The 20,422-nt window shown below is 41.1% G+C and overlaps 1 protein-coding gene across 2 annotated transcripts; it reads left to right on the plus strand.

The window, feature by feature from the left end:
* Nucleotides 1–6,623: 6,623 nt before the first annotated feature.
* OR3A3 (olfactory receptor family 3 subfamily A member 3) lies at nucleotides 6,624–19,324 on the plus strand. Of its 2 annotated transcripts, NM_012373.3 has the most exons (3): nucleotides 6,624–6,738; nucleotides 7,232–7,425; nucleotides 15,834–19,324. In NM_012373.3, the coding sequence occupies exon 3, from the start codon at nucleotides 15,840–15,842 to the stop codon at nucleotides 16,785–16,787; it is 948 nt and encodes a 315-aa protein (NP_036505.3). In that variant the 5' UTR covers nucleotides 6,624–6,738; nucleotides 7,232–7,425; nucleotides 15,834–15,839; the 3' UTR covers nucleotides 16,788–19,324. The 2 variants fall into 2 exon arrangements, with proteins under 2 accessions (NP_036505.3, NP_001373027.1); NM_001386098.1 differs by lacking the exons at nucleotides 6,624–6,738; nucleotides 7,232–7,425 and adding an exon at nucleotides 15,678–15,699.
* The last annotated feature ends 1,098 nt before the right edge of the window (nucleotides 19,325–20,422 follow it).

Genomic DNA, 20,422 nt, shown 5'->3' on the forward strand with positions numbered 1-20,422 from the left:
CCATGTCCCTGCAAATGACGTGATCTCATTTCTTTTTATGGCTGCATAGTATTCCATAGTATTCCATGGTGTATATTTACCACATTTCTTTATCCAGTCTATCATTGATGAGCATTTGGGTTGATTCCATGTCTTTGCTATTGTGAATAGTGATGCAATGAACATATACGCATTCATGTATCTTTATAATAGAATGATTTATATTCCTTTGGGTATATACTCAGTAATGGGATTGCTGGGTTAAATGGTATTTCTGTTTTTAGGTCTTTGAGGAATTGCCACACTGTCTTCCACAATGGTTGAACTAATTTCATTCCCACCAACAGTGTAAAAGCATTCCTTTCACTCCACAGCCTCCCCAGTATCTGTTGTTTCATGACTTTTTAATAATTGCCATTCTGACTGGCATGAGATGGTATCTCAATGTGGTTTTAATTTGCTTTCTCTAATGATCAGCGATGTTGAGCCTTTTTTCACGTTTGTTTACCGCATGTATGTCTTCTTTCAAGAAGTGTCTGTTCATGTCCTTTGCCCACTTTTTAATGGGTTTTTTTTCTTGTAAATTTGTTTAAGTTCCCTGTAGACGCTAGATATTAGACTTTTGTCAGAAGGAGAGATTGCAAAAGTTTTCTCCCATTCTATAGGTTGTCTGTTTGCTCTGATGATAGTTTCTTTTGCTGTGCAAAAGCTTTTTAGTTTAATTAGATCCCATTTGTCATTTTTTGCTTTTGTTGCCATTGCTTTTGATGTTTTCATCATGAAATCTTTGCCTGTGCCTATGTCCTAGATTTTCTTCTAGGGTTTTTATAGTTTTGGGTTTAAGCCATCTTGAGTTAGTTTTTGTATAAGGTGTAAGGAAGGGATCCAGTTTCAATTTTCCGAATATGGCTAGCCAGTTCTCCCAACACCATTTATTAAATAAGGAATCCTTTCCCCATTGCTTGTTTTTGCCAAGTTTTTTGAAAATCAGGTGGTTGTAGGTGTGCAGTCTTATTTCGGAGTTCTCTATTCTGTTCTATCGGTCTGTGTGTCTGTTTTTGTACCAGTACCATGCTGTTTTGGTTGTTGCAGGATTGTAGTATAGTTTGAAGTTGGGTATCTACCCATTTCTTAAGTGTTTGATTTCCATAACCAGTGTTGCAGGTTTCATGTCATAGATCTTACACATTTTTGTAAGACTTATACTTAAATATTTAATAATATTGTGCTATGTAAAGAGTACTTTAATTTTTTTCAACTTCCACATGTTCATTGCTATTTGATATAATTTTAATATATTAATATTATATATATATTTGTATACACAAATAAAACTTTTTAATATGTTGACCTTATACCCTATGGGTTTACTAAACTTGATTACTGGTTCTAGAACCCTTTTTTAGATAATTTTGTGGATTCTGTACAAACATGAATAGAGATGGTTTAATTTCTTACTTTCCAATATGTATACATTTTAGTTCTTTTTATTGCCCTTTCTCACTGCCTAGTACAATGTTTAAAAAGAGCAGTGAGTTCATTTTTGTATATGGTATAAGGAAGGGGTCCAGTTTCAATCTCCTGCATATGGCTCTCCAGTTATCCCAGCACAATTTATTGAATAGGGAATCCTTTCCCCATTGCTTGTTTTTGTGAGGTTTCTATCTGTCAAAGATCAGATAGTTCTTGGTGTGTGGTCTTATTTCTGGGTTCTTTATTCTGTTCCATTGGTGCCCGTGTGTCTGTTTTTGTACCAGTGCCATGCTGTTTTGGTTACTGTAGCCCTGTAGTATAGTTTGAATATAGTTTGAAGTCGGGTAGCGTGATGTCTTCGGCTTTGTTCTTTTTGCTTACGATTGCCTTGGCTATTCAGGCTGTCTTTCTGGCTCTGTATGAATTTTAAAGTAGTTTTCTCTAATGCTATGAAGAATGTCAATGGTAGTTTAATAGGAATAACACTGAATCTATAAATTGCTTTAGGCAGTATGGGCATTTTAATGATATTGATTCTTCCTATCCATGAGCATGGAATGTTTTTCCATTTGTGTTGTCTCTGATTTCTTTGAGGAGTGTATTGTAGTTATCCTTGTAGAGATCTTTCACCTCCCTAGTTAGCTGTATTCCTAGGTATATTGTTCTTTTTGTGGCAATTGTGAATGGGCGTGCATTCGTGATTTGGCTCTCAGCTTGACTATTGCTGGTGTATAGGAATGCTAATGATTTTTGCACATTAATTTTGTATCCTGAGACTTTACTGAAGTTGTCTTTCAGATTAAGATGCTTTTGGGCCAAGACTATGGAGTTTTCTAGATATAGGATTATGTAATCTGAAAACAGGAATGATTTAACTTATTCTATTCTTATTTGAATGCCCTTTGCTTCTTTCTCTTGCCTAATTGCCCTGGCCAGAACTTCCAATACTATGTTGAATAGGAGTGGTGAGAGACGGCATCCTTGTCTTCTGCCAGTTTTCAAAGGGAATGCTTCCCACTTTTGTCTATTCAGTATGATGGTGGCTATGGGTTTGTAATAGATGGCTCTTATTATTTTCAGGTATGTTCCTTCAATACCTAGTTTATTGAGAGTTTTTAACATGAAGGGATGTTAAATTTTTTTGAAAGCCTTTTCTGCATCTATTGAGATAATCATGTAGTTTTTGTCTTTAGTTCTGTGTATGTGATTAATTACATTTACTGATTTATGTATGTTGAGCCAAACTTGCATCCCGGGGATGAAGCATACTTGATCATGGTGGATAAGCTTTTTGATGTGCTGCCGGACTCAGTTTGCCAGAATTTTGTTGAGGATTTTTGCATCAATGTTCATCAAGGATATTGGCCTGAAATTTTCTTTTTCTGTTGTATCTCTGCCAAGTTTTGTTATCAGGATGATGTTAGCCTCATAGAACAAGTTAGGAAGGAGTCCCTCATCCTCAATTTTTTGGAACAGTTTCAGTAGGAATGGTACCAGTACCAGCTCTTCTTTGTACTTCTGGTCGAATTCAGCTATGAACCCATCAGGTCCAAGGGTTTTTTTGGCTGGTAGGCTATTTATTACTGACTCAATTTCAGAGCTCATTGTTGGTCTATTCAGGGCATCAATTTCTTCCTGTTTGTCTCAGGACAGTGTAGATGGCCAGGAATCTATCAATCTCTTCTAAGTTTTCTAGTTTGTTTGTACAGAGGTATTTGAAGAAATTTCTGATGGTTATTTTTATTTCTGTGGGGTCAGTGGTAATATTCCCTTTATCATTTCTAATTGTGTTTATTTGGATCTTCTCTCTTTTCTTCTTTATTAGGCTAGCTAGTGGCCTATCTTATTCATTTTTTTTTTAAATCAACTCCTCTATTTGTTGATCTTTTGAATGGTTTTTCGTGTCTCAATTTCCTTCAGTTCAACTCCGATTTTGGTAATTTCTTGTCTTCTCCCAGTTTTGGCGTTGATTCTTTCTTGCTTCTCTAATTCTTTCATTTGTGATGGTAGGTTGTTAATTTGAGATCTTTCTAACTTTCAGATGTCAGCATGTAGTGCTATGAATTTTCCTCTTAATACTGCCTTAGCTGTGGCCCAGAGATTCTGGTATGTTATATCTTCTTTTTGAGACTGAGTCTCACCCTATCGCCCAGCCTAGAGTGCAGTGGCATGATCTTGGCTCACTGCAATCTCTGCCTCCCGGGTTCAAGTGATTCTCCTGCCTCAGCCTCCTGAGTAGCTGGGATTACAGGTGCCCACCACCATGCCTGGCTACTTTTTTGAATTTTTAGTAGAGATGGGGTTTCATGTTGGCCAAGCTGGTCTCGAACTCCTGACCTCTAGTGATCCTCCCACCTCGGCCTCCCAAAGTGCTGGGATTTCAGGCATGAGCCACCACACTCAGTGTGTTGTATCTTTGTTCTCATTAGTTTCAAACAACTTCTTGATTTCTGCCTTGATTTCATTATTTATTCAACAGTTGTTCAGAATCATGTTGTTTAATTTCCATGGAGTTACATGGTTTTGAGTGATTGTCTGATCCTAACTATTTTGGAGGCACTGGGAGACATGGAAGTAGTTCTGGAGGACAACAAAAATCATCTTGTGAGACTTCTTCCTCACATAGGGTGTTTGCATGGTCTTCAGGCAAAAGGAGGTTGCTCATTTCTAGCAAGGGGAAGGGATACTTCTGCCCCAGCAAGTGAATTCCGGGGAGTCTGAGGATTCAAAATTCTCATGTTCATCCACTCAAACAAGACTCAAGGTCTCACTCTTTCCTTCCCAGGGTCTGTAATTTAGCATAGGAGACCTACCTAAGCTACATGTGCTGCCTCCTTAGTAGCTCTTGCACCCTTAGAATTAAGTCTCAGGCCTGATTTTCAACACCGTGTGTCAATGGTTGTAGAAGATTAACGTTTCATTAAATGTTGCCATGGATATTTTCTGGCTTTTACAAAATAAACCCTAAGTTGATAGTTGACTAACCTGGACCTATCATTCTATTTCTTCCAGGCTTCCAAGGAAGTTAACAAAAGCTATCCCTATTCTTAAAACTCCAGGCCAGGCACAGTGGCTCATGCCTGCAATCTCAGCATTTTGGGAGGCTGAGGCTGGAGGATTGCTTGAGCCCAGGAGTTCAAGACTAGTCTGAGCAACATAGCAAAATCCCATCTCTACAAAAAATAAAAATTAAAAAAAAGCTTCCAGCTTTTGCTCGTTCGGTATGATGGTGGGTATGGGTTTGTAATAGATTTTTTTTTTTAATTTTTTTTAACCAGGTGTGGTGACATGCACCAGCTCTTCAGGAGGCTTAGGTAGGAGGAGCGCTTGAGCCTGCAAGTGAGCTATGATTGCACCACTGCTCTCCAGCCTGGATAACAGAGTGAGACTCTGTCTCAAAAAAAATCCTAATTCTAATAACTACCATGGTTCTTATAACATTAACTTGCTGGAGCTAACACATGACACAGTGTTTCTCCGTCTACCTGTACCTCATCCCAAACTACCACAAGTGAGTCTTGGTAATTGTGATGCTATCACATGCTAGGGCTTATCACAAACCCCACTTACTCCAACAGTGGTGAATGCTCCAGTTCCAGAATCCCTCCCAAAACCAATTGTCTTAGTTTGGTTCCCACCAAAGAAGAGCCTGAGAGAAGATGTGTGTGTGTATGTGTATGTGTGTGTGTGTGGTTTAAGCAGGAAGTCATCTCAGGGAGCAAGAGTGAAGTTATTTATTTGGGAGCTAGTCCCCAAGAGCAAGACTGATTTATGAAGAGGGTGAGGCAGAGAAAGAAAAATTGTCCCTTACTAACAACATATTACGCAAGTCCCCACTATGAACACTAGAGATTGGATTGACCCAGAGCATACACAATGTCTCCCAGAATTGTGTAAAGATGGGGGCTGAGGGGACTTTTTTTTTGAGACGGAATTTCGCTCTTGTTCCCCAGGCTGGAGTGCAGTGGTGTGATCTTGGCTCACTGCAACCTCTGCCTCCTGGGTTCAAGCGATTCTCCTGCCTCAGCCTCCCAAGTAGCTGGGATTACAGCCATGTGCCACCACGCCTGGCTAATTTCGTATTTTTAGTAAAGAGGGGGTTTCTCCATGTTGGTCAGGCTGGTCTCGAACTCCCAACCTCGGGTGATCTGCCCGCCTCGGCCTCCCAAAGTGCTGGGATCATAGGCGTGAGCCACTGCGCCTGGCTCCTGGGATATTTATCCCCTGGCTCCATTCCCCATTGTCAAGTTGCCCTCTGCACTTCTGAGCTCCACATGTGCTGAGACAGAGTAAGCTCCCCCACTGTTTGTGGCATCAGAGGATCCCAGGGAAGAGGCTTCACTGTCAGCTTGCAATGGAAGCCTGCAAGGAACTATCCCCTGCAACCATGGCTGAAATCAGAAGACAAGCATCTTGTCTCCTTTGTTCTCCAGATGTGAAGCAGAACATCTGATCTGTCTGCTACAATCTACTTTGCAGAAGTGTTAGGAAGACTGATAGACCCTCCAGGCTTGTACGGTTCTTAGCAAATTACCATGTAAATAACAAACACTCACAAATGTTCTCAGTTTGTATGTAGATGAATTGTTGAACTTCTGTTAGCAGCTTAATGAATCCTACTTCGTTTAATGTTCAGACAGCAGTGCTCTGTAGGGGAGAATATGCTCATTTTACAGATGAGGAAACTGAGGCTCAAAAACTGACTTTGCAGCTTGTTCAGAGTCAAACCACTAATAATCAGAAGAACAGGTTTGTCTATTCTGCTTTTTCTACTGCACCACAACTCCCTGGTGGGAGAAGAAGGAGCCCTCTCTCTTAGGCGAGGGAATGTTAGTGGGAAGAGGAGTCAGAGGAACACACTTCTACACCTTCCCACAGCTTCTGTTCATTAACCTGCCACCTTCACCAGGCCTCTCAATTCCTCAGGGCCGGACTTAGAAAATCATGTTGATAGGCACCTTCCCAGTAGTCCTGCTAGCATCACAGGGCTCATCTCCCAGCACCTCCAGAATCATTATAGGATCCCCAAGACACAGTCCCAGTGGCCCCCACTAACAAGGCCCCAAGAGAGAAAGCGCCTCACTACTGAGGGCTCAACAGGAAACCAGCTTTGAAGAACACTTTCCCCTCTTATATCCCTTCTGGGGCCTCCTCCTCCTCCCTCCCCAGGTCCAAGACAAGTTCAGGAATTTGCTTGTCTCTGCTCAAATGCCCTGGTTGATATCTGAGAAAGAAGAGGCAGGCGGATCATGAGGTCAGGAGACTGAGACCATCCTGGCTAACATGGTAAAACCCCGTCTCTACTAAAAAAATACAAAAAATTAGCTGGGTGTGGAGGCAGATGCCTGTAGTCCCAGCTACTCGGGAGGCTGAGGCAGGAGAATGGTGTGAACCTGGGAGAATGGCGTGAACCTTGCAGTGAACCGAGATCGCACCACTGCACTCCAGCCTGGGCGACAGAGCGAGACTCCGTCTCAAAGAAAAAAGAAAAGAAAAGAAAATGTCTCCTTAGAAAGCCCATATAGAGTCTCCAGCTGCACCTCTCCCTTCCTGGGGGACTTTGAGGACATAGGCAAGTCCTGTAGGCCTCAGTGACCCACATTAAGCAGAGCCGACATCATCTGCCGTAACAACCTGCCCACAAAGCCAGGGCTAGAGGCAAAGCCTTCCTTGTGAGAAAGTCTAAATACCAGAAGGTGTGAGGCATCGTTGCCATGAGTATGAAGGGCCTGAGGTGTCTCCTTTTCCGTGTCTCTCCCCCCATCCTTCTCTCTCCTAGGAGAGCCAGTTTCTGAGTGCCCCAGAGGAGAATGCTGTAGTGAACACAGCCCTGTACAGAGAAGACAGCAGCTTGATTCCTCTCATTTCTCAGTCATTAGCCCCTCACTCGCTCTCCGGGAGGATAACGGGGTGTGTGCAGCTCCTCCCCTTCTTTCCTGAGGAAACCTCAGTGGCTTCCGTGCCCTTGCCAGGGTGAGTGTTCTCCTGAGTCCTTCCTCTGCTCCTACAGAATAGAGAAGGGGCTTCTGTTGCCATCAGCTTAGTAAGCCTGGTGCGATGGATGCCCCTGACAGGGAAAGCCATTTAGGGGAAGACCTGGCACTACAGCCCGGAGGTCCTGGGTTCTTTTGTGGTTTTCCCCGTGCTCGCCTCTCTCAGATGAAGCCTGCTGCCTGTTAGCATGAGTGTGAGGAGACTCGCTCAGACCAGTTCACTGCCCGCACCCACTGCATCAGGCAGCGGGGAACCCTCGCTCCAGCGAAGTCCTTGAGCCTCGTCATGTTGGGCGCGTGAGGGATGGGCTGGAGTTCCAGAGCAGGGAGCTGTCACAGCTCGTAAGGGGAGCCTCGAGAGTGGTCGTGCAGGAGGGCTCCCCAGTGGGCCTCGTGGGGACCCTGTCAGACCCTCTGGGTGTCTCAGGGTGACCTGAGGTCATCCCAGAATCCCCCTGGTTTTAAGCAATTGTATCTCTAGCTGTCTGAGGGTTGGCAACAGCTGTTTAGTGGTTCTTCTACCCCTGACCATGACTTACTTGTCTGTAAGGTGTGGCCCCTCCTAAGGGCCGTATTGTTTTGGGAGGTTTAAGTAAAAAGAAGCATGTGGACTGGTCCATGACCTGCTTGTCCTGTTAACACAAAGGAGTCCCTGCCACAACCTTGCACCCTGCATTTAACCTGTACCTCCCCTAAAGCACACTAAGCCAGGAAAGTCTAGCCCAAATATTAATGTGTCCGGAAAGTCTTCCATGACAACTCTAGCTTATACTGATGCTCTCTTTCTCTGAAATTGTACGAACGTTAGAACAATTGATAATTCGTTTCACAAATATTGAAGTATTATGATGGTTACTGCTATTGAAAAGACTGAATCAAACATGTTTTGTCCTCGAATTACTTACAGAGATGTAAGAAAGATATGTTCTATAGAGCAATGACTGAACTGGAAGGTAAAGCATAGTAAGTTGCATGAAATAATATGTGTGGGAGTTTAGGAGAGAAGCAGCAGGAGGGAGGCAAAGACAGGGAAAGAGAGAAACAGAGAGACAGGCAGGAGTGAGAGGGAGAGTGATCCTTTTGAGATGGGAAAGTTTCACGGAAAGATGAGTTCAGCAGCCAGCAACTGGCGTCAAGTCTTGAAATATTTGGGAAGTGGACTTGGAGGAAAACTATCGCAAAAATATCTTCTTCAAAAGAACATATGTACAGAGCTGTTACCTACCCACTGATTTGCCAATTTGCAAAGCATTTACAATTACCAATTTCATCAAGATAATCATACCAGAAGATGATTTCTTCCCACTCCCAAGTCATGTGATCTTAGAATTTTAAGGACCTGGATGGATGCGGTGGCTCACGCCTGTAATCCCAGCACTTTGGGAGGCCGAGGTGGGCGGATCATGAGGTCAGTTGTTCGAGACCAACCTGGTCAACATGGTGAAACCCTGTCTCTACTAAAAATACAAAAATTAGCCGGGCGTGGTGGCAGGCACCTGTAGTCCCAGCTGCTCGGGAGGCTGAGGCAGGAGAATCACTTGAACCTGGGAGGTGGAGGTTGCAGTGAGCCAAGATCATCAAAATCATGCCACTGCACTCCAGCCTGGTGATAGAGCAAGACTCCATCTCAAAAAAAAACAAAAAAACAAAAAACAAAAAAAAAAAACTTTAAGGACCTCTTAGAGATTACCGCATCCACATTCTCATCCATGTGGCATCCCCTCTGCAGCTTCCCCGTGGCCTGAGCACACACAGTGGAGACCTCATTTGGAAGGCTGGTCATCGAGACAGCCTCACATTGGAGACATCCTCTTGCTGTAGAGACTCCAGTGAGATGCACGTTATCCACATGAAACTGCGGGTCAGTCTTTAGAGACTACCTTGACTCTTTTTTTTGAGACAGAGTCTCAGACGGAGTCGCCCAGGCTGGAGTGCAGTGGCGCAATTTCAGCTCACTGCAACCTCCACCTCCCGGGTTCAAGCGATTCTCCTGCCTCAGCCACCCGAGTAGCTGGGACTACAGGTGCCCGCCACCGCACCGGACTAATTTTTTGTATTTTCAGTAGAGACGGGGTTTCACCATGTTAACCAGGATGGTCTCGATCTCCTGACCTCATGATCCGCCCACCTCGGCCTCCCACAGTGCTGGGATGACAGGCGTGAGCCACCATGGCCGGCCAGGATTTTTTTGAAGCTCCACATATTTCTACTGTGCAGCTGAGGTTGAGACTCACTGCAGTACATTTTCATAGAGCATCAGCGAGGAATGAATGCCCGGTGGATTTCCTAACATCTTTACAAAGAAAGAAAAACACGATGCAGGAAGGTAGTGTGAATTCTCCGAAACGATCTCAGGATTTTAAGAGTCACAAAACCCATCTGATAGTGCTTTGACAATTGGAGCAGCAATGCGATCAGAGACCACTGGACACATTCTTGGTAACTGGAGAAAAGACCCAAATCACCTCAGGATGTCAGAGAAAAGGCATTTACTGGCAAGCCAGGAGATAGCTCATCACCAGAAATGGAATTTGGTTGACAGGAAGTAAAATAGCCTGGGAGAGCTGCTGTCTACTCCCAGAACCCACCCAAGGCTCTTCTGTGGATAGCAACTACCGCAGCGTGCAAGGCAAGGGACTTTGAAATTTACAAGTCGTAGCCACTGAGAGGGTGGGAATAATTCGATCATTCATAAAAAGTATATTAATAATCATTAAAAAAATAATATAGGTAATATGTTAACATTTAAAATCTCCAATGAAAAACACTAAAACCCATTATATTACTACCACTCTTTGAAAACCACTGCAATAGCTCAGAGTTTCCTTCTGTTTATTATATGTGTATGTGGTAACAGTGAGATCATATTTTAAGTATACAGTTTTGTCTTTCCTTTTACTTACTGAATATCTTACCACAAGAATTTGCTTGATTTTAAAGTCATTTCTGTTAATGTGAATTTTTTACAATTATTTTTTCTAGTTTATTATGGTATATATAAGAAAACAACATATTATCGTATATTATTTTTATATTTACTTTTTATCTTGAAATTTTCCTATACTTTCATATTTTTAAGAGTTTTCCAGCTGGGCTCGGTGGCTCACACGTGTAATCCCAGCACTTTGGGAGGCCGAGGCGGGCGGATCACATGAGGTCAGGAGTTCGAGACCAGCCTGGTCAACATGGTGAAACCCTATCTCTACTAAAAATACAAAAATTAGCCAGACGTGGTGGCGGGTGCCTGTAGTCCCAGCTACTCGGGAGGATGAGGCAGGAGAATTGCTTGAACCTGGGAGGTGGAGGTTGCAGTGAGCCAAGATCATGCCACTGCACTCCAGCCTGGGTGACAAAAGCGAAACTCCAACTCAAAAAAAAAAAAAAGAAAAGAAAAACCAACAACTGTTTTATTGCTTTCTAATATATGGTCTTTTAATTTCTTGCATTGGCTAAAGCTTTCAGAACAATGTTAAATAATAATTGATAATGAATTTACTTGTCTCATTAGTGACTTGACTGAGAATGCTTTTAATGTTTTTCTATTAAACATGATGCTGTCTTTGGAGTTTAGTTCGTTTTATTTTATTTTTTATTTACTTATTTTTAAATTATTATTATTATTATTATTATTATTATTATTATTATTATTATTTGAGACCCAGGCTGGAGTGAAGGGGCACGATCTTGGCTCACTACAACCTCCACCTCCTAGGTTTAAGCAATTCTCATGTTTCAGCCGCATACCAAGTAGCTGGGATTACAGGCGAGCACCATCACGCCTGGCTAATTTTTGTATTTTTGATAGAGATGGGGTTTCACCATGCTGGCCAGGCTGTTGTCAAACTCTTGAGCTCAAGTGATCCACCTGCCTCAGCCTCCCAACGTGCTGGGATTACAGATGTGAGCCACTGCACCTGGCCTACTTAGTTTTATTTTAACATGTTAGGTAAGTACCTAACTATTCCTATTTTATTATAAGATTTCAGAAATCAAAATGAACATTTAATATAATCAAATGCCTTTTTAGCATCTATGGAAAGGATCACATAATCTCCCTTTACATCTGTTAATATCATAAAACATATTAATACATTTTCTCATTTTGAACTAACCTGGCATTCCTGACCAAATCCCAAATACTTATGGTTAATTATTTTGGTAAAATTACTGAAATAAATTTGTTAATCTTTTATGATTTCATATTTTCTTTACTTTAACATAAATTTTTTTCTTTTCTTTTGAGCTAGTTATGCACACTTCGCAAAAAAAAAATGGAAGCTTTCTTCTTTTATATTCTTGAATAGTTTGATCGTCATTACAAACTTCCCTGTGGCATTTTACGGAGATGTTGCTTTTCATTAGTGGCAATTGGAAGCTAGCTCTTTCTCTACTTTTTCTATAGTAGTCTGTTTAGATTTTCTAACTGTTCTAGAATTATTTTAATAAATCATAACTTCATAGAAAACTTTTATAACTTGGAGTTCAGAAAAATAGAATTTTATAATTTTTATTGAAATATAATAGTTGTATATATTTAGGGAGTACACTGTGATGTGTGTATATATATATAAAACAATGTGTAAGGATCAAATCAGGGTAATTTGGATATCCATCACCTCAAACATTTGTCTTTGTGTTGGGGACATTCCAATTCTTCTGGCTATTTTGAAATATACAATAAATTATTGTTAACTATAGTCTCCATACTCTATCAAATTCTAGAACTTGTTCCTTTTATTTAACTGTATTTTTGTACCCATTAACCAATTTATCTTTATCACTCCTTCCCCTCACCCTTCCCAGCCTCCAATCACCACCATTCTATTCTCTACTAGAATTTTTCAATTTTCTATTGGGCTATGTTTATTTTCTCCCTGTCAATTATTATTTTGCATGCTTATACTTTTTTGCTTTTACTCACGATTAGATCACTTAGTTAAGGTTTGTCAATTTCATTTTACCACAAACAACCTGTTCTCAATTTGTATTCATTCTTTTGTTTGTCTATTTTCTAATTTTTTACTATGGAATTCCTTTAGATTTTCTTAAATTTCTTTTGTTTTCTTATTCTAAATTCATGATTGGGTTAAGCCTTTTCATTTCAACATTTTTGCTGATTAACATGAACATATCTTTTGACTTACAATTGTAAGACAACTAAGGAAGTCAGCATACCTACACCATCTCTACATGTTCTTTCTTCTCCTCTTAACTTTATTAGATTTCTACAGTGTCATTGTTCAAACATTTATATTTTATTCTGAAACCACAATCCCCATATACGTCTTACAGTAAAAAAAATTCAGTGCTTATTACCAGTTATTTTGTTTTCTTTTTCCTTCCTCTTCTCTTTGTTGGCTGAAGTTTATCCTCTAGAAGTTTATTCTATGGGGCTCATAGAACAACTATTCTTGAGTTTTTGAGTGTCCAAAAACTTTAGGCTGTTGCTTGTATATTTGAGTTACAGTTTGTCTTAATAGAAAATTCTTTGGTTACATTTTCCTTCTATGAAGATTTTATAGGAAGTTTTCTATTTTCTTCTAGTCTTGAATACTTCTGTAGAGAAATTTAAGATAAGCATCTTCTCATTCTATTGTAAGTGACTTGATTTCTGCCAATATACCCAAAGGATTCATTATTTTTTAATTACAATGACCTTACTAGGACTATCTCAGAATGGGACCTGTTTCTGTCTCCTGGTACATGTTGTGACTTTTCAGTCTCTAGAAGCCGGTCTTCAGTTATTTCTGGAAAGTTTTATTTTGTCTAATTGTTTGTTCCTCCATGCTCATTTTTTACCTGAGTTCTGTTATCTCACATTTCACTTCCATCTGGTATCTTGAAACTCTTCCCTGAGGTCTTGTATCTCTGTCTTGTGTTCTTGTCACATAGAGGTGAATGGTTTATTACATGTTTTAAGTTCACACTTGTTTTTTGTTTTTCAGTTATTCAGTAGCTCTATGCCACAATTTTTCTTCTGAGTGTTTGTAGTCTAGCATTTGTTTGTCCTAGTTTCTCTCCTCTACCCTCCCCATTTTTTTCTTGAGTATCTTTAACTAGACCTTGTGCTGGTTCCCTTTTGAAGTCTAAATGAATCGAAAGGTTTCTCAGCCAGTTTTTCATGAGAGGTTTTTGCTGGGGACAGGTGCATGTCTTGATTCACGGTTGTTTTTGAGTACCTTTTGCCTTGACTTCTCTAATGTCAATGCTGACACACAGCTGAGGAACTGCTGACAAGGCAGTTTTCTTGCTTTTACAGTCTCACCTAAACACTACACAATCAGCTTGCCTGGGTGGCTTCTCATTCAGTCCTGTCTCCTCTGCTTCTCAGATCCAAACTGAGACCAAAGAAGACCATGCCACCAACCATTTCCACTTTTATAAACAAAGGATTTTAAAGAATATTTTGGTGACCATCCCCCAAAGCAGTCACATCAACCATACTACTACAGCACTCTGATTTCTGAGATATGATTTTCTTAACCGCTCCTGGCCCTGAATTTCACTGCCCCAGTTCAGGCAATCATCATGCTTCCCTTTCTGTTAGAGTTATCAGACTCCAACCCCTTCCCATCTTCTGATTTCAGATACAAGGGTATGATATTGCTCTTAAGGAAGCTCAAGCCCTACTTGTCTCTAGTCAATAAAGACATTGATATTTTTTTGATTCAGAGTTTGACATAATTCAGTATGGCTTTCCAAGTACATGCCTTCTTCATTTGAAGACATAGCCTTAGAGTCATTGGTCAATCTACCATGCCTGAATGAAGGACAAGTAGAAGACCAGTGTCTGTGCAATGTAGAACCCTAACTGCACCTGGCAGCAACCAACCCACAGGACATGATTACAACTTTGGTTTTAGAGGGGAGTAGCTGACAATGTACACAGAAAAAATAATTTTAAATTAACTTGTTAGTCAAAGTCCAGTGTAAGGATTTAAGTAACAATAATAACACTAGCAATTAATTGAACAAGGAGTGTTGAATTGACACTTCATAGTGTGGTCCCTCTCTTTGAAGAAATGTGCTGGGCTGGTCTTTCTGACATTCAGAATCATGAGTATCTTCTCTCTGATTCCTGGCATACCTTCACTTGATCTTCACTATTTCCAGAAGCCTTGAAACCTAGGCAACAGTTTCAATATTTTCTAGTTTCTCTGAAACTCTCATGAATTTTTCTATTTTGAAGTCTGCTTATTGGTCTCTGATTCTATGACATTGACTTTTTAGATTCCACATGTAAGTGAAATTGTCAAATATTTATCTTTCTGTGTCTAGTTTATTTCACTTAGCATAATGTCATCCAGTTTGTATAAAAGGATATATTTTAACATTCTCACCACAAAAATGAGTTGTTGAAGGGATGGCTATGTTAATTACCTTGATTTAATCATTTTACAAAGCATATGCCAATCAATATCACACTGTACCCCATAAATATACACAATTATTATTCATCAATTAAAAATAAATTATTAAAATGTAATCTGCTTATTAGTTTGGGTTGATCCCTCAGAGAAAAATGGGAAAATTCTATCTTTTTTTTTTTTTTTTTTTTTTGAGACGGAGTCTCACTCTGTCGCCCAGGCTGGAGTGCAGTGGCGCGATCTCGGCTCACTGCAAGCTCCACCTCCTGGGTTCACACCATTCTCCCGCCTCAGCCTCCCAGGTTCACGCCATTCTCCTGCCTCAGCCTCCCGAGTAGCTGGGACTACAGGCGCCTGCCACCAAGCCCGGCTGATTTTTTTTGTATTTTTAGTAGAGACGGGGTTTCGCTGTGTTAGCCAGGATGGTCTCAATCTCCTGACCTCGTGATCCGCCTGCCTTGGCCTCCCAAAGTGCTGGGATTACAGGCATGAGCCACTGCGCCCGGGGAAAATTCTATCTTAATCTCACTATATTCAAAAAGGAAGTCTTTTGCCTTTTTTTTAACAAATTTTATTGCGTATATTTAAGGTTCACCACATGAAGTTACGAGATACACGTAGACAGTAAAATGATTAGTATAGTGAAACAAATTAACATATCCATCATCTCACACAGTTACCCATTTTCCCCCTTCCGGCAAGAGCAACTATAATCTACTCATTTAGCAAAAATCTTGAATACAATACACTTTATTAACTATAATCCTCATGTTATAAATTAGATCTTTTATCTTAGCTTATTTTCCCAAGTATTCTGACCTTTTCAGCTAGCAGAGGATGAGAGGGACAAGGTGGTGGTGGCATTCGGCATCTCAACCAAGAGCAAGGTAAAGGCATTGAGGTGTTGGAGGAGTGAGGGATGGCCTGGGGACTCGCCACGGGGCTTTGAACATAAATGGTTTAAAATGTTAATGTGAACTGAGTGAACTGATACCTCCCCTGCTGGGACATGTCCTTACAGAAACTCATGGAGCCAGAAGCTGGGACCAATAGGACCGCTGTTGCTGAGTTCATTCTACTGGGCCTAGTGCAAACAGAAGAGATGCAGCCAGTTGTCTTTGTGCTCCTCCTCTTTGCCTATCTGGTCACAACTGGGGGCAACCTCAGCATCCTGGCAGCCGTCTTGGTGGAGCCCAAACTCCACGCCCCCATGTACTTCTTCCTGGGGAACCTGTCAGTGCTGGATGTCGGATGTATCACTGTCACTGTTCCTGCAATGTTGGGTCGTCTCTTGTCCCACAAGTCCACAATTTCCTATGACGCCTGCCTCTCCCAGCTCTTCTTCTTCCACCTTCTGGCTGGGATGGACTGCTTCCTGCTGACCGCCATGGCCTATGACCGACTCCTGGCCATCTGCCAGCCCCTCACCTACAGCACCCGCATGAGTCAGACAGTCCAGAGGATGTTGGTGGCTGCGTCCTGGGCTTGTGCCTTCACCAACGCACTGACCCACACTGTGGCCATGTCCACGCTCAACTTCTGTGGCCCCAATGAGGTCAATCACTTCTACTGTGACCTCCCACAGCTCTTCCAGCTCTCCTGCTCCAGCACCCAACTCAATGAGCTGCTGCTCTTTGTAGCAGCAGCCTTCATGGCTGTGGCACCCTTGGTCTTCATCAGTGTGTCCTATGCCCATGTGGTAGCTGCTGTGCTGCAAATCCGCTCTGCTGAGGGCAGAAAGAAGGCCTTCTCCACATGTGGCTCCCACCTCACTGTGGTGGGCATCTTCTATGGGACAGGTGTCTTCAGCTACATGAGGCTGGGTTCAGTGGAATCTTCAGACAAGGATAAGGGGGTTGGGGTTTTCATGACTGTGATCAACCCCATGCTGAACCCACTTATCTACAGCCTCAGAAATACTGATGTTCAGGGCGCTCTGTGTCAGCTACTTGTGGGGAAGCGATCACTGACCTGAGAGATGACCTCCTTTCCTGCCTTTTCTGGACCGAGGAAAATTTCCCGAGAAGATAGTAACCAACAAACCTTGTTTATAACCATTATTTCTATCTCCTGATGCCTGAGGAGTGGTGTTATGTGTTTGGCCTACAAGGAAACCCTATATAATTCATTCATTTATTCATTCAACAAATATTTATTAAATTACTTCTATGATCCAAACAATCTTCTAGGGCATTGGTGAGCAAAATGGACAAAAGTCTCTGCACTCAAGCAAATCACATGCTATAAAGGTAGGCTAAATAAATAAATAAGCATCATATATAGTATACCACATGGTGATACACTCTATAGAAAAAAGCTGGTAAGACAGGAAGACATGAAGTGAGCTTCTGCCAACCAGGCCTCCTGGGCAAGTTGGTACCTTGCTTTGGGCTGTGCCCGCTTTCTCGGTAGAGCTGAAATCTTGGCAGCACTTTATGCCTGAGCAGCAATGTCCTACAGGAAAGGGCCACTTCATCCCAGCCTAGGTAACCAAGAATATCACTGCAAAGTTTCCTTCCAGAGGGATGTGAGACTCCCTCCAGATCAGAGTGTGGAAAGGTATTTTGAACCGTGGGCCCAGTGCCAGGAATCATTTCATGCTACTGTTCACCTTTCACCTCCCATAAAATCAGTTCCCTCGCTTTAATACCACACGGGAATCCCATAGGACGATCAGGCAACAGGTGGGGTCTAGAGAAGGAAAGAGCTACTAAATAAAAACTATGTTAATACATAAGTGATATACCTTAAGATCAAAAAGGGAATGTCCTATTTCCATCCCCTGCGGTATCTTTCTGTCTTATTTGATAAATCATCTTCCTGACACATATGATACTTTTTGAAACAGTAAGCGTTTATGTTCCAACTAGGTCCTCAGAATTTTATTGTAGAATACCCAATACAACATTCTCCTCCAAAGTCTTACTTTTCTATCCCAAACCTTCTAGCCTGAAAATACACACCCATAAATGCAGTCCCTGGGAGTGACACCTCCTTCTAACTTTAACTTTATTTGATTAATACATCAATACTGCTGCAACCCAGAGCATTTCCTCATCTTGATGTCTATCCAGGTTTCAGCCCATTAATTCCTGATTCTCTCCAGCCCCTCTAGGAAGACTGTTTACTGCGTCCTAGCAACACTACTGTCCCTCTGCTGTTCATCCCTAAAACTGTCCATGGGTGCACCTGAACCTTGGCTTCTCTGTGATTTCCTCTTGGGGTTGACTGGAAGGATGGGCTGAGATAAGGTTGTGAAGACAAGATGTGAGAGTGGGAGGTAGGAACGGATTGGAGCGGAGCAATGAAGATGAAATGAGCATATCGAGAGGGATGGGACAGGGTGATGAGCAAAAGTGGTAAGAAGGAAGGATGGAAGTAATGAAGGAAATGATGCAATGAGAGAATGGGAAGAGAGAAGTATGTCTCTTACCTGATGCTCTTGGGTGTCCAGACACTTTAACGTTAAAGAACTTGAGCTTCCCTTAAGGGCAAAGTTCTTGTGAATGAAAATCACGGACACGGGTTGTAATCACATCATTCCTACTCATCCACTGCTCTGTGATCTTAGAAAGTTCCTTACCATGGTTGGGCTTGTGTCCACCTGTACCATAAGGGACTGGGACAAGATTTTCTATCCACGGTTCCTCACATTTAATGACCTCTGATCATAATAGTCTGAATGAGCTCTTCCCTGGGTCTGAACACATCACAAACATTTTGAGAGCATTACCACCACCATTTCCACCACTCCATCTACGCCGTGAGCATCTAACGCTTGTCTATGACCCCCAAAGATCCCAGGCCCTGGCACTGCCTCCTGTGTGGCATTGCCACCTCCTTTCCTGTGTTCCACCTGTCCTCCAACACTGAGGGGTTTCCTGAACAAGTGAGAAAGATGTACTTCCTTGGGAGTTTCTCTCTTTGTGCTCTCAAATATAAATATACCTATTTTTAAATGTTTCAGAAATATTATACCTGATAGTGGAAACATTCAGAAAATATTATTCTTTCAAATGGGAAATAAAAATCCAATTATTCCTTCACCTCGCCAAAAACCTCATCAGAGTTAACTCCTCTTAAGAATTTGATGACCAGGCATGGTGGCTCACGCCTGTCATCCCAGTGCTTTGGGAGGCCAAGGCAGGTAGATCACCTGAGGTCAGGAGTTCGAGACCATGCTGGCCAACATGGTGAAACCCCATCTCTACTAAAAATACAAAAATTAGCCGGGCATGATGGCGGGCACCTGTAATCCCAGCTAGTTGGGAGGCTGAGGCAGGAGAATCGCTTGAACCCAGAAGGCAGAAGTTGCAGTGAGCTGAGATAGCGCCACTGCACTCCCGCCTACACTCCAGCCTGGGCAACAAGAGCGAAATGCCATCTCAAAAAAAGAAAAAAAAAAAAAAAAAGAACTTGGTGTTTAATCCTCCAAAGATTTCCTATATATATGATATGCCTACTTCACATCTGTAGAAACATACTGTTCTGTGATCTGCTTTATGATTTTCCCTACATGTTATACAATATAATCTTTTACATGATAAAGACTAAAATTCTGCTTTATCTCTTTTAATGATGACACAGTATATCATTAAACATATAAACTATAATTTATTTAATCAAAACTCCACTGATATAACTTGGGTTGTTTCTAATTGTTTTGCAATAACAAATAATATTGTGATGAATATCCTTACGGGGCATTTTTCTAAATTTATGTAATTATTTCCCCAGGATTAATTCACATGAATAACTTTATCAGATTATAAAATATAAATAACAAATATAAATTTTAAGATACACATGCACAAACACATACACATCTTAATTTCTAAAACTTTTGGGCCAATTTACAGATTTGCTGTTGTGATAGTGTTTGTTTACCCACATCCCTCCCATCAATGGTTGTTATTAAAAAATTTTTTTCTCGATTTTTATAACCTGAAGGTTGAGAAATTGCAGTATTTTAATTTGAATTTTTAATTTCTTTTTTCATTAATTTTAGTTTTATTTATTTATTTAAGTAGGTGCCATGTATTGAGTACTTACCAGGTGCTAGTAAATGCTCTATCCACATTACATAAGAGAATTCATTTAATCCTTAAAGTCACTGTTTGAGCTATCATCCCTATTTTACCAACAAATTGAGGGATAAAACTTTGTATCAACCAAATATCTCAGTAATTGCTGATCAGAGCTGATTAACAAATGATAATCAACATGTTCTATATTTGGTATTTCCTTTACCTTACAGGGCATTCTTTTTTTAACTTTTAAGTTCAGGAGTACATGTGCAGGTTTGTTATATATGGGTAATATAGGTTATATATACCTATATAGGTATATATAGGTAATATAAGTTATATAGGTAAACTTGTGTCATGAGAGTTTGTTGTACAGATTATTTTGCCACTCACATATTAAACCTAGTACCCATTAGTTATTTTTCCTGATCCTCCCCCTCCTCCCAACCTTCACTCTCTGATAGGCCCCAGTGAGCGTTGTTCCCCTCTATGTGTCCATGTGTTCTCATCACTTAGCTCCCACTTATAAGTGAGAACATGCAGTATTTGGTTTTCTGTTCCGAGTTAGTTTGCTAAGGATAAC

Source organism: Homo sapiens, chromosome 17 (assembly GCF_000001405.40).
Source record: "Homo sapiens chromosome 17, GRCh38.p14 Primary Assembly".
Classification (NCBI taxonomy): Eukaryota; Metazoa; Chordata; class Mammalia; order Primates; family Hominidae; genus Homo; species Homo sapiens.